The sequence below is a fragment of the Homo sapiens genome, chromosome 18, assembly GCF_000001405.40.
Source record: "Homo sapiens chromosome 18, GRCh38.p14 Primary Assembly".
NCBI classification, from domain to species: Eukaryota; Metazoa; Chordata; class Mammalia; order Primates; family Hominidae; genus Homo; species Homo sapiens.
In genome coordinates, this window is record NC_000018.10 from 11,466,599 (window position 1) to 11,480,804 (window position 14,206).

At 40.8% G+C, this 14,206-nt stretch overlaps 1 long non-coding RNA gene across 5 annotated transcripts in view; it reads right to left on the reverse strand.

The window, feature by feature from the left end:
- LOC107985173 (uncharacterized) overlaps positions 1 to 14,206 on the reverse strand; it is a 122,834-nt gene that overhangs the window by 99,494 nt on the left and 9,134 nt on the right. For 2 of the 5 annotated variants that reach the window (XR_007066291.1, XR_001753355.3), the window contains one exon: positions 945 to 1,017. The exons of the other annotated variants lie outside the window; for them this stretch is intronic. This is a non-coding gene — a long non-coding RNA (uncharacterized LOC107985173). The remainder of the gene's footprint in view (positions 1 to 944; positions 1,018 to 14,206) is intronic. 5 annotated transcript variants of the gene reach the window in all.

A 14,206-nucleotide genomic window follows, 5' to 3' on the forward strand; every position in this document is an offset into this window, starting at 1 on the left:
ATTGCTTGTTCTCTTCAAACTGCAACAAGTAACCTCCACCTCCCTTCAGGTCAGACCCCTGGATGCCTTACACTTACCCCGTAGGCACCATCCAGCTGAGACACCACACGCAGGTTGCCAGGCTAGACCTTCACCAGGTGCTGCCGCTGGGTCTGAGTCCCAAACTTGCCTTATCCAAGTCAGCTACTTTCAGTTCCAGGTGCCAGCCCCTGACCATCGGCCTCCACCCACCATGGTCACCTGGACCGTGCTTGCCATTTCTCAGGACACAGCACTGGCCAGGAAGCAGCAAACACAATTATAATAGGTTGAATACTTTTAAGTACATTTACAATCTCCCCAAACATTATAAATCATTGTTATTGCAGACTTTGGGTCTGAGGCCCACTGAGAAAAACTTTTCAAGCAATTCAATGCTTTCAGCATTCAATACTGTCTAGTATTTAAGTGCATAATGGAATTGCATATGCAAGGAATGCTTATCAATATAATTGCAAACATGACCCACGAATCATGTAAAACAAGTCATAAATCATAACCTGCCAGTAAGTCTTGTCAAAGCATCAAAACACAACTCAAGATAAAAATCAGCTAATGCTGTTTCATGCTTGAATTCAGCTTCTAAACAGAGAACTGTTTGAGCTCACAGAGATGCAGGTAGGTTAATAAAGAGATACGTTTTTGTGTCCAGTAACTGAACCATATCAAATAATGACTGTATGAACCAGGGGTCTTCCAGGGAGTGGGGGTACTGCTTCTAGAGTTCACCATTACCCCACTTTCTTCCTCCCATTTGTAAGTTAAGGGCCATCCCTCAGGCCCTCAGCTGCTGGCCCTAGCACCTCAGCCCTCTCCCGACTCCATCCAGATCCAGGGCTCAAGTACTGAGCAATGTCAAAGGGTGAAAAAGAGTTCCAGATTTAGCAGCTACCACCGCATAATACCGGGCTGCCGGTGGGCCTGGGTTCCTTCCTTCTTCCACTGAAGTCCTCCACCTTGCCTGTTTCCAAACAGTTTCTAAGGTAATGGATTAAATGAAAAATACAAAATGTTATTACATTTTCACGTTTACAGACATAATAACATGCTAAACCTGAGAGATATTTCCACTTCAATGGACAAAAATATTTTCCCAATCTTTGGCCAGCCATGCTAGAAAAATTGCACAACGCTCCTTGTTTTTGTTGTCTTTCCTACACATTCAAGTGTAATTTACTTAAACCAGGATGTCTCAATCTTGTATCAGGTTCTATGAAGTGTTAGAAAAAAAAAATCTCAGATTCTAAGAAGTTTGGAAGTGCTCCATGAGATATCTAATGCTTATAGACTCACAGGAAACATTAGTACATTTAGAATCTTAAAAATTCTAAGCAGTCTTGTGGTAAAGAACCAATTAGATATATAATTAATTCTAATTATTGATTGATATGTTTGCATATGTATTTATGTGCATATGAAATATCTATTTCCAAAAACTTTATTGAGGTATGATACCCACAATAAAATGTACTCATTTTTATGCCATAGTGTAATTTGTTTTAATAAACATATACACCCATGAATCCACCACAACAAAAAAAATTGAACATTTCCATCACTTCCAAAAATTCTCTCATCATTCTCTCCATAAATCCATAACCCCAGTCTAATGACGAGAAGAACATTCCACAAACCCAAATCAAGCGACATTGCAAAAAAGACCTGACCAGTATTCTTCAAAACTGTCAAGTCATGAAAAACTAGGAAAGAATGAGAAACTGACCCAGACCACAGGAAGGGAAGGGAACATCACAACTAAACACAAGATCCTGGATTAGACCTTGGAGCAATAAAAAAGTATTAATGGAAAAACTGGTGAAATCGGAATAAGGGCTGGAGTTAACTTTAATAGCATTGTCCCTAAGTTGTTCCTCAGTTTTGATAAATATGTCACAGTAATGCACGATGATACCATGCGGGGGCAGTGAAAGTGGGTGCAGAGAGTGGAGAAACTCCCTGCCCATTTGCTGTCTCACAGTTTCCACAGGTCAGGAGTCCCGGCAGGCTCAGCTAGAACCCCTGCTAAGGTTCTCTGGGCTGCAATCAAGGTGTCAGTCTGGCTGCTTTCCTTCCAGGAACATGGAGTCTTCTTCCAAGTTCATGTGAATGTTGCAAGAATTAGTTCCATGTGGGCTAATACATGTGAATGTTGGAAGAATTAGTTCCATGTGGGCTAATAACTAGGAGTCCAAGTTTTCTGCTGGTGGAGGCAGCTCTCTGGGAATAGAGGCCCCCAGGTTCCTCTCCACATGCACCTCCTCCTAGGCCCCACACAAAGTGCCTGCCTGCCTCCTCCAGGCCAGTGAGAGACTCCCTCAAGACTGTTAAGACAGAGTCTTACATAACGTGACATAATCATGGGCATGAGCACTCACAGCTTTGCTATCTAATATAATCAAGGGAGTGATGCCCCATTAGCAATTGATTAGAAGCAAGTCACAGGCCAGGTGCGGTGGCTCATGCCTGTAATCTCAGCACTTTGGGAGGTCAAAGTGTGTGGATCACTTGAGCCCAGGAGTTTGAGACCAGTCTGGGCAACATAGTGAGACCACTGTCTCTACAAAATAATAATAATAATGATAATAATAATTTGCCAGGCATGGTGGCACACACCTGTGGTCCCAGTTACCTGGGAGGCTGAGATGGGAGAATCGCTTGAGCCCAGGAGTTCCAGGCTTCAGTGAGCTATGACTGCACAACTACACTCCAGCCTTGGAGACAGAGTAAGACCCTGTCTCAAAAAAAGAAAAAAAAAGGATAGGAAATGGAGTGAGGGGGTCACAATCCTGCTTAAACTCAAAGGAGTCGGGGCGGGACAGGTGTATTACTCAGGTGTTATACCAGGTGGCAAAGGTGAGAAGACTATCTTACTTCTTTTTATGTGTGATGTGTATGGATTTCACCATCCATTTTAGGATAGACTATTAGAGGCACAGAGGCACGAAATGAATCCATTTCAAGTACATAGATGGTCAATGACATAGCAAGGGCTAGACCCCAGGTCTTACAAAAGGAAAACATTTCTGAAACTATAAGCTTTGTTACTTAGCTTTTAAGTAACAAATGCTTTTTTTGTTGTCCATTTAAATTCTTGACTTTTTTGTTTTGAATTTTTTAAATTGTTTTGTTGCATGTATTTTCAGTTTGTGAACTTTACTGGATGCCCAGTAAAGTTCGCTTATAAACATTACCTTATGGTGGGCATGAATTAGAAAGCTTGCAGAATAAGCATGTTATTTTTAAAAGAACTGTATTAGGCCATTTCACACTGCTCTAAAGAACTACCTGAGACTGGGTAATTTATGAAGAAAAGAGGTTTAATTGGCTCACAGTTCCTCAAGCTTAAGAGGAAGCATGACTAAGAGGCCTCGGAAACTTACAATCATGGTGGAAGGAGAAGGGCAAGCAAGCACCTTCTTCACATGGTGGCAGGAGAGACAGCGAGTGAAGGGAAAAGTACTACACACTTTCAAACAACCAGATCTCGTGACAACTCACTCACTGTCACAAGAACAGCAAGGGAGAAGTCCACCCCTATGATCCAATCACTTCCCACCAGATTCCTCTCCTGACACATGGGGATTACAACTGGTGATGAGATTTGGGTGGAAACACAGAACCAAACCATATCAGGAACAAACACAATAAAACAAAGTTTGCAATAAAGCTTTATCATGATTTGGAAAGGCATAGATTCAGTTTAGTGGGAACTCATATTACTTCCTATGATGAACATGTTCTGATTACATCTTACACAAATTCTGTCCCTGAACCTTTTCTTCTTCAAGGATCACGCTTGGATTATGTCATAATAAACAAAATGTTCTTCAATTATAAGAGAAAAATGTCATCTGGCCTATTACAAGTGGCACTAGCTCATATTTGGGTCAATTAAAAGACTTTTGCTTAGGGTATATATATCACAGGACAAAATCATAGTTGTGTTGTTCCCAAGGGTGGAAAAGTAGGTTTCTTGTTGTTGTTTTACTTTGTTTTGTTTTGTTTTAAAATGAATGTCATGGATATTTGTGTCAAAAACCCTTGAAGATATTCCATTCTAAAAGAAAAAGAAGATTCTGACTTAATCTTAAGAACACAAGTTTTCATGCAATGTATAACCCGTGTATACTGTAACATAGTATAACAGGCATTTCTAAATGACAATTAAAATGACCCATTTATATAAAAAATAACATCTTAGCTCCTCTTCTATGCTTACTAGTCCAAAATAAGAATCACAGGAGAATGCTGAGAATTAACAAAAGAGCAAATTTAGTTTAAAAGGTAGTCTTTCATGCTTTGCAAAAAGTATAGAATTGAAAAACCGAGCACATTATATTGGAAGCATTGAAAGGAATGAAAAGGAAGTGTTGGGTAAATGGTGGCAATTGTTCCAACTCATCTGTGAATGCAGGAACAGAACTGAATGCAGGAAGCAGCTAAATAGGATCCATTCAGACTCATCTGTCCCTCCTGTCTCCAGAAAGGCCACGGGGAAACCATGGCATGACAGCTGGTGGGGCACGAGCACTGAGAGAAGCCACAGAGGGGCCACATCAAACGTTCCAACAACCCATCAGGAACGGTGGGCCATCTTCAGAATCAGGCGAACACTGCACACAGAGCCATGCGTAGAGAAGAAGCTGCAAGATAGACCACTGCCTAAAATCATCCATGAACTGTGACTGAAACCAAATAGCCTCAGAATATTGGAGCTATAAGGAACCTTGGAGATTCTCAAATAAATGAATTCATTTACATTTTTTAGTGAAACATTTAACCATGTTTGAAAATAGCATATTAGGAGGTACAATTTAAATTGTATTTTTGTGTGTTTTATTTTAGAACAACTTTTTTTTTTTTTTGAGATGGAGTCTCGCTGTGTCACCCAGGCTGGAGTGCAGTGGCGCCATCTCCGCTCATTGCAAGCTCCGCCTCCCGGGTTCAAGCCATTCTCCTGCCTCAGCCTCCCAAGTAGCTGGGACTACAGGCACCCGCCACCACGCCCGGCTAATTTTTTGTATTTTTAGTAGAGATGGGGTTTCACCATGTTAGCCAGGATGGTCTCGATCTCCTGACCTTGTGATCCACCTGCCTCAGCCTCCCAAAGTGCTGGAATTACAGGCGTGAGCCACTGCGCCCGGCCTAGAATAACCTTTTATTAAACTATATTTCTACATTTCAACACTGTTTATATTTCTAAAATACTTATTGTGTCAATGCATTTCAGATTTTGCAATATTTCAGTGTTTGCTCAAAGCCTTTACTTTAAGAGATGATCTGATATTGCTCGTGTATCTGAAATCAGACAGATGACTAGCAAGATAAAAGAATGTTACTTTAAAAGCATAAATCTTCTTGGGATCCAATTACTTGTGAATGCTCCTCAGCTCCCTCAGGAAAAGAAGCTGCTGACATTCTGGAGAAGAAACAGGTAGAGCTCAGGCTGTCCTGCTCTCCTTTGCGGGTACATTCTTTTAACAAATGCAAGGTGAGCAGATGGCAAATTGGTCTTCATCTCCCCAAAACTTATCAAAAAAAAACAGCGGAACTCATGGCAAACTATATACACACACGAGCACATGCACGAACCCCAGGCTTCCTGTAAGTTGCCCAAATCCAAAGGGATCTTTAAAATACGTCCCCTTTAAAAAGTTGTCATCCTGTATGTAATATTGATCTACATATTCACTCTCCTCTCCAACACATCTCAAAGAAAGCAAAATGCCAGTACTCTTAGCAGACTCATGATCATTATTGGTCTTCCCAGAAGGAAACAGAATGACTACCCATCCTGAGGTACAAATTACCTTTGTGGCACAATAATCAGTATTTTGGCCACTTGTAGCTGATTTCTCAGGTTCTAAGCGCCCCTTGTGCTAACAAACCAATAGTCAGAGCCAGGTCTAGTCAGCATTAAGACATCTGCATCCCAGTGGGCAACCACACACTTTTAAGATGTGCTGTGGCCTGACAGACTTCCCTTGTTATAAATATTAGAATATAATGAATCAGATATGCAAGGACACTAAGGGAAAATCTAACTGATTATATCCTTTCCTTTCAATCTTAATTCTCCCCTTTGTTCTCCAAAGGAAATCTAAACTAACTGCCAGTTTCCTGAGACAGGGTCCAGACGTATCTGCGAACTTGAGGCATTCTGGGTGCTGCAAGAGCTCTGGGAAAATTGGTCCTGGGGATGAAGGGCTCCCTGGTGTCCTATATACATGCCGTGCCATGTATGTTGTGTGCATTAGCTAATTTAACCCCTCCAGTAACCCTCAGAGCAGAGATTCTAAGAGTATGTCCATGGATCCCTGGGAGTTCCCTATGGCACATTACTTTTTTATTATTTTATTTTAATATTGTATTGTAACTTCTATATTAATAACATTTTATATATATTTAAATGATACTATTTTTAATCATTTTACTTTTATAATTTATACCTTTTTTAAATACTACTATGACATTATTTGCCTTTCTCACAGCACTGACATTCTTTTTAAGTTCTATGGATTCTTTTTTTAAAATTTATTTATTTACTTATTTATTTTTTATTATACTTTAAGTTCTGGGATACATGTGCAGAACATGCAGGTTTGTTACATAGGTATACATGTTCCATGGTGGTTTGCTGCACCCATTAACCCATCATCTACATTAGGTATTTCTCCTAATGCTATCCCTCCCCTTATCCTCCACCCACCGATGGGCCCCAGTGTGTCCACGTGGGCCCCTGTGTCCACGTGTTCTCATTGTTCAAATCTCACTTATGAATGAGCACATGCAGTGTTTGTTTTTCTGTTCCTGTGTTAGTTTGCTGAGAATGATGGTTTCCAGCTTCATCCATGTTCCTACAAAGGACATGAACTCATTCTTTTCTACGGCTGCATAGTATTCCATGGTGTATATGTGCCACATTTTCTTTATCCAGTCTATCATTGATGGACATTTATTTGGGTTAGTTCCAAGTCTTTTCTATTGTGAATAGTGGTGCAATAAACATACGTGTGCATGTGTCTTTATAGTAGAATGATTTATAATCCTTTGGGTATATACCCAGTAATGGGATTGCTGGGTCAAATGGTATTTCTGGTTCTAAATCCTTGAGGAATCACCACACTGTCTTCCACAATGGTTGAACTAATTTGCACTACCACCAACAGTGTAAAAGTGTTCCTATTTCTCCACATGCTCTCCAGCATCTATTGTTTCCTGACTTTTTAATGATCGCCATTCTAACTGGCATGAGATGGTATCTCATTGTCGTTTCGATTTGCATTTCTCTAATGACCAGGGATGATGAGCTTTTTTTCATAGGTTCGTTGGCTGCATAAATGTCTTCTTTTGAGAAGTGTCTGTTCATATCCTTCACCCACTTTTTGATGGGCTTGTTTTTTTCTTGTAAATTTGTTTAAGTTCCTTGTAGATTCTGGATATTAGCCCTTTGTTATGTGGATAGATTGCAAAAATTTTCTCCCATTCTGTATGTTGCCTGTTCACTCTGATGATAGTTTCCTTTGCTGTGCAGAAGCTCTTTAGTTTAATTAGATCCCATTTGTCAGTTTTGGCTTTTGTTGCAATTGCTTTTGGTGTTTTAGTCATGAAGTCTTTGCCTATGCCTATGTCCTGAATGGTATTGCCTAGGTTTTCTTCTAGGGTTTTTATGGTTTTAGGTCTTACGTTTAAGTCTTTAATCTATCTTGAGTTAATTTTTGTATGAGGTGTAAGGAAGGGATCCAGTTTCAGTGTTCTGCATATGGCTAGCCAGTTTTCCCAACACCATTTATTAAATAGGGAATCGTTTCCTCATTGCTTGTTTTTGCTAGGTTTGTCAAAGATTAGGTGACTATAGATGTGTGGTGTTATTTCTGAGGCTTCTGTTCTCTTCCATTGGTCTATATATCTGTTTTGGTACCAGTACCATGCTGTTTTGGTTACTGTAGCCTTGTAGTATAGTTTGAAGTCAGGTGGCGTGATGCCTCCAGCTTTGTTCTTTTTGCTTAGGATTGTCTTGGCTATATGGGCTCTTTTTTGGTTCCATATGAAATTTAAAGTAGTTTTTTCTAATTCTGTGAAGAAAATCAGTGGTAGATAGGTGGGAATAGCATTGAATCTATATATTACTTTAGGCAGTATGGCCATTTTCATGATATTAATTCTTCCTATCCATGAACATGGAATGTTTTTCCATTTGTTTGTGTCCTCTCTTACTTCCTTGAGCAGTGGTTCATAGTTCTCCTTGAAGAGATCCTTCACATACCTTGTAAGTTACATTCCTAGGTATTTTATTCTTTTTGTAGCAATTGTGAATGAGAGTTCACTCATGATTTTGTTCTCTGTTTGTCTATGTTTAGTGTACAGGAATGCTTGTGATTTTTGCACATTGATTTTGTATCCTGAGACTTTGCTGAAGTTGTTTATCAACTTAAGGAGTTTTTGGGCTGAGACAATGGGGTTTTCCTTTTTTTTTTTTTCTTTTTTTTTGAGACAGAGTCTCACTCTGTCACCCAGGCTGGAGTGCAGTGGTGCGATCTCCACTCACTGCAAGCTCTGCCTCCTGGGTTCACACCATGCTCCTGCCTCAGCCTCTCGAGCAGCTGGGACCACAGGAGCCCGCCACCACACCTGGCTGATTTTGTGTGTGTGTGTGTGTGTGTGTGTGTGTGTGTGTATTTTTATTAGAGACAGGGTTTCACTGCAATGGGGTTTCCTAAATACACAATCATGTCATCTGTAAACAGAGGCAATTTGACTTCCTCTCTTCCTATTTGAATACCCTTTATTTCTTTCTCTTGCCTGATTGCCCTGCCTAGAACTTCCAATACTATGTTAAATAGGAGTGGTGAGAGACAGCATCCTTGTCTTGTGCCGGTTTTCAAAGGGAATGCTTCCAGCTTATGCCCATTCAGTATGATGTTGGCTGTGGGTGTGTCATAAATAGCTCTTATTATTTTGAAGTTTGTTCCATCAAGCCCTAGTTTATTGAGTGTTTTTAGCATGAAGGGGTGATGAGGTTTATTGAAGGCCTTTTCTGCATCCTTTGAGATAATCATGTGTTTTTTGTCATTGGTTCTGTTTATGTGATGGATTACATTTATTGATTTGCATATGTTGAACCAGCCTTGCCTCCCAGGGATGAAGCCAACTTGATCGTGGTGGATAAGTTTTTCATGTGCTGCTGGATTTGGTTTGCCAGTATTTTATTGAGGGCTTTCACATCGATGTTCATCAGGGATAGTGACCTGAAATTTTCTTTTTTGTTGTGTTTCTGCCAGGTTTTGGTATCAGGATGATGCTGGCCCCATAAAATGAGTTAGGGAGGAGTCCTTCTTTTTCTATTGTTTGGAATAGTTTCAGAAGAAATGGTACCAGCTCCTCTTTGTAGCTCTGGTAGAATTCAGCTGTGAATTCATCTGGACCTGGACTTTTTTTGGTTGGTAGGCTATTAATTACTGCCTCAATTTCAGAACTTGTTATTGGTATATTCAGGGATTCGACTTCTTCCTTGTTTAGTCTCGGGAGGGTTTATGTGTCAAGGAATTTATCCCTTTCTTCTAGATTTTCTAGTTTATTTGCGTAGAGGTGTTCATAGTATTCTCTGATGGTAGTTTGTATTTCTGTGGGATCAGTGTGATATCCCATTTATCATTTTTTATTGTGTCTATTTGATTCTTCTCTCTTTTCTTCTTTATTAGTCTGGCTAGCGGTCTATCTGTTTTGTTAATCTTTTCAAAAAATCTGCTCCTGGATTCATTGATTTTTTGAAGGGTTTTTCGTGTCTCTATCTCCTTCAGTTCTGCTCTGATTTTAGTTATTTCTTGTCTTCTGCTAGCTTTTGAATGTGTTTGCTCTTGCTTCTCTAGTTCTTTTAATTGTCATGTTAGGGTGTCGATTTTAGATCTCTCCTGCTTTCTCCAGTGGGCATTTAGTGCTATAAATTTCCCTGTCAACACTGCTTAAATGTGTCCCAGAGATTCTGGTATGTTGTGTCTTTGTTCTCATTGGTTTCAAAGAACTTATTAATTTCTGCCTTAATTTCGTTATGCACCCAGTAGTCATTCAGGAGCAGGTTGTTCAGTTTCCATGTAGTTGCGCAGTTTTGAGTGAGTTTCTTAATCCTGAGTTATAATTTGATTGCACTGTAATCTCAGAGACTGTTTGTTATGATTTCCATTCTTTTACATTTGCTGAGGAGTGTTTTACTTCCAGTTATGTGGCCAGTTTTAGAATAAGTGCTATGTGGTGCTGAGAAGAATATATATTCTGTTGATTTAGGGTGGAGAGTTCTGTAGATGTCTATTAGATCCACTTGGTCCAGAGCTGAGTTCAAGTCCTGAATATCCTTGTTAATTTTCTGTCTCGTTGATCTGTCTAATATTGACAGTGGGGTGTTAAAGTCTCCCACTATTGCCGTGTGGGAGTCTAAGTCTCTTTGTAGGTCCCTAAGGACTTGCTTTATGAATCTGGGTGCTCCTGTATTGGGTGCATATATATTTAGAATAGTTAGCTCCTCTTGTTGCATTGATCCCTTTACCATTACGTAATGCCCTTCTTTGTCTTTTTTTAATCTTTATAGGTTTAAAGTTTGTTTTATCAGAGACTAGGATTGCAATACATGCTTTTTTTTTTTTTTTTTTTTTTGCTTGGTAAATAGTCCTCCATCCTTTTATATTGAGCCTATGTCTGTCTTTGCATGTGAGATGGGTCTTCTGAATACAGCACATCAATAGGTCTTGACTGTGTCCAATTCGCCAGGCTGTGTCTTTTAATTGGGGCATTTAGCCCATTTACATTTAAGGTTAACATTGTTATGTGTGATTTTGATCCTGTCATCATGATGCTAGCTGGTTATTTTGCACATTAGTTGATGCACTTTCTTCATGATGTCATTGGTTTTTATATTTTGGTATGTTTTTGCAGTGGCTAATACCAGTTTCTCCTTTCCATATTTAGTGCTTCCTTCAGGAGCTCTTATAAGGCAGGCCTGGTGGTGACAAAATTCCTCAGGATTTGCTTGTCTGGAAAGGATTTTATTACTCCTTTGCTTATGAAGCTTAGTTTGGCTGGATATGAAATTCTGGGTTGAAAATTCTTTTCTCTAGGAATGTTGAATATTGTCCCCCACTCTCTTCTGGCTTGCAAGGTTTCTGCAGAGAGATCCGCTGTTACTCTGATGGGCTTCCCTCTGTGGGTAACCTGACCTTTCTCTCTGGCTGCCCTTAACATTTTTTCCTTCGTTTCAACCTTGGTGAATCTGACAAGTATGTGTCTTGGGGTTGCTCTTCTCGAGGATTATCTTAGTGGTGTTCTCTGTATTTCCCAGATTTGAATGTTGGCCTGTCTTGCTAGGTTGGGGAAGTTCTCCTGGATAATATCCTGAAGTATGTTTTCCTACTTGTTTCCATTCTCCCCGTCACTTTCAGGTACACTGATCAATCGTAGGTTTGGTCTTTTCACATAGTCCCATATTTCTTGGAAGCTTTGTTTGTTCCTTTTCATTCTTTTTTCTCTAATCCTGTGTTCATGCTTCATTTCATTAAGTTGATCTTCAATCTCTGATATCCTTTCTTCCGCTTGACTGATTTGGCTATTGATACTTGTGTATGCTTCACGAAGTTCTCATGCTGTGTTTGTCAGCTACATCAGGTCATTTATGTTCTTCTCTAAACCAGTTATTCTAGTTAGCAGTTCCTGTAACCTTTTATCAAGGTTCTTAGCCTCCTTGCATTGGGTTAGAATATGCTCCTTTAACTCAGAGGAGTTTGTTATTACCCACCTTCTGAAGCCTACTTCTGTCAGTTTATCAAACTCATTCTCTATCTGGTTTTCTTCCCTTGCTGGCAAGGAGTTGTGAGTTGTGATCCTTTGGAGGAGAAGAGGAATTCTGGTTTCTGGAATTTTCAGCATTTTTGCACTGGTTTTTCCTCATCTTCATGGATTTATCTACCTTTGATCTTTGATGCTGATGACCTTTGAATGGGGTTTTTGCATGGGCATCCTTTTTGTTGATGTCAATGTTATTGCTTTCTGTTTGTTAGTTTTCCCTCTACAGTCAGGCCTCTCTTCTGCATGTCTGCTGTAGTTTGCTGGAGGTCCACTCTAGGCCCTGTTTGCCTGGGTATCACCAGTGGGGGCTGCAGAACAGCAAAGTTTGCTGCCTGCTCCTTCCTCTGGAAGCTTCGTCCCAGAGGGGCACCCACTAGATACCAGCCGGAGCTCTCCTGTATGAGGTGTCTGTTGACCCCTGCTGGGAGGTGTCTCCTGGTCAGGAGGCACAGGGGTCAGGGACCCGCTTGAGGAGGAAGTCTGTCCCTTAGCAGAGCTCAAGCGCTGTGCTGGGAGATTCGCTGCTCTCTTCAGATCCAGCAGGCAGGAAGGTTTAAGTCTGCTGAAGCTGCACCCACAGCTGCCCCTTGCCCCAGGTGCTCTGTCCCAGAGAACCCGATCTGACTGGGGCTGCTGCCTTTCTTTCAGAGATTCCCTGCCCAGAGAGGAGGAATCTAGAGAGGCAGTCTGGCTACAGTGGCTTTGCTGCGCTGCGGTGGGTTCTGCCAAGCTCAAACTTCCAGGTGGCTTTGTTTACACTGTGAAGGGAAAACCGCCTACTCAAGCCTCAGTAATGGTGGATGCCCCTCCCTCCACCAAGCTCCAGTGCCCCAGGTCGACTTCAGACTGCTGTGCTGGCAACGAGAAATTTCCAGCCAGTGGATCTTAGCTTGCTGGGCTCCGTGGGGCTGGGACCTGCTGAGCAAGACCACTTGGCTTTCTGGTCTCAGCCCCTTTCCAGGTGAGTGAACAGTTCTGTCTCACTGGGGTTCCAGGCACCACTGGGGTATGAAGAAAAACTCCTGCAGCTAGCTTGGTGTCTGCTCAAATGGCCGCCCAGTTTTGTGCTTGAAACCCAGGGCCCTGGTGGTGTAGGGACCCCAGGGAATCTCCTGGTCTGCAAGTTGCAAAAACCGTGGGAAATGCATAGAATCTGGGCCAGATAGCACCTTCCCTCACTGCACAGTCTCTCACAGCTTCCTTTGGCTAGAAGAGGGAGTTCCCAGATCCCTTGCACTTCCCAGGTGAGGCGATGCCGCCACCCTGCTTCGGCTCACCCTCCGTGGGCTGCACCCAGTGAGATGAACCAGGCACCTCAGTTGGAAATGCAAAATCACCTGCCTTCTGTGTTGGTCTTGCTGGGAGCTGCAGACTGGAGCTGTTTCTATTCGGCCATCTTGCCTGGAACCAGTTCACTGCACGGACATTTGTACTGATGGCACACAAGGAATGTTGGGGGAAATTGCTGGTGCCTTAGCACAAACCAGTGCAGCGGTATGAACCTGTATGGGTGGCCATTGCATTCCTCACTACCCACATTTAAAAAGAAGTCAGTTTTACTTAAGAAAGTTTTTGATAAAGGTGTAACAATTTTTTATTTTATTAAATCTCCACCCTTGAGTTCCCATCTTTTTATTATTCTGTGAGACAAATGGGAAGTTCTCACAAAGTACTTCTACTGCACATAGAAGAAAACCATCATCTTAAAGAAAAACACTTGTACAGTTATCTGAGTGTGAGCTGACCCAACTTCTACTTTCATGGTATACCATTTTTATAGTGCTTGTGAGAATGACTGATATATCAATTATGATTATTCAGATGGGTATCTGGAAGCCATTTTCTTGAAAATAAAGTAAGCACGTGACTTTAAGAAAAACAACTAAGAGTATCTGTTCCCAATAAAAAAAAATAGAACTTTCATATGTATACCCAAAAACTTAAAGTATAATAAAAAAAGAAAAAGAAAAATAGAACTTTCAAGCAAAAAAAAATTTTTTAATTAAAATTTAAATTTAAAATTTGAAAACTGTGTATCATAGTGAGCTTAACGTCTTTCCAATCTTAAATGCTTTTTGATGAGGTCAGTGAGAATGTTGACAAAAGTGGGGGTTTGGGTTATCATGTAATAAAATGGATAAACATTTGGAAGATCCACATAGCTCAGGGAACCCATGCATGATGCTACAAAATCATTCAAGGTAAAAGATCCATTCAAAGTGGAAACTAGACTAATGGATTCAATGTAATCAAATACAAAAAGTTCCCTGGTGTGGTTTCAGATTACACATTGCAGCTAGCCATTGGGAAACTATAACTTGTGGAGTTTTGGTGT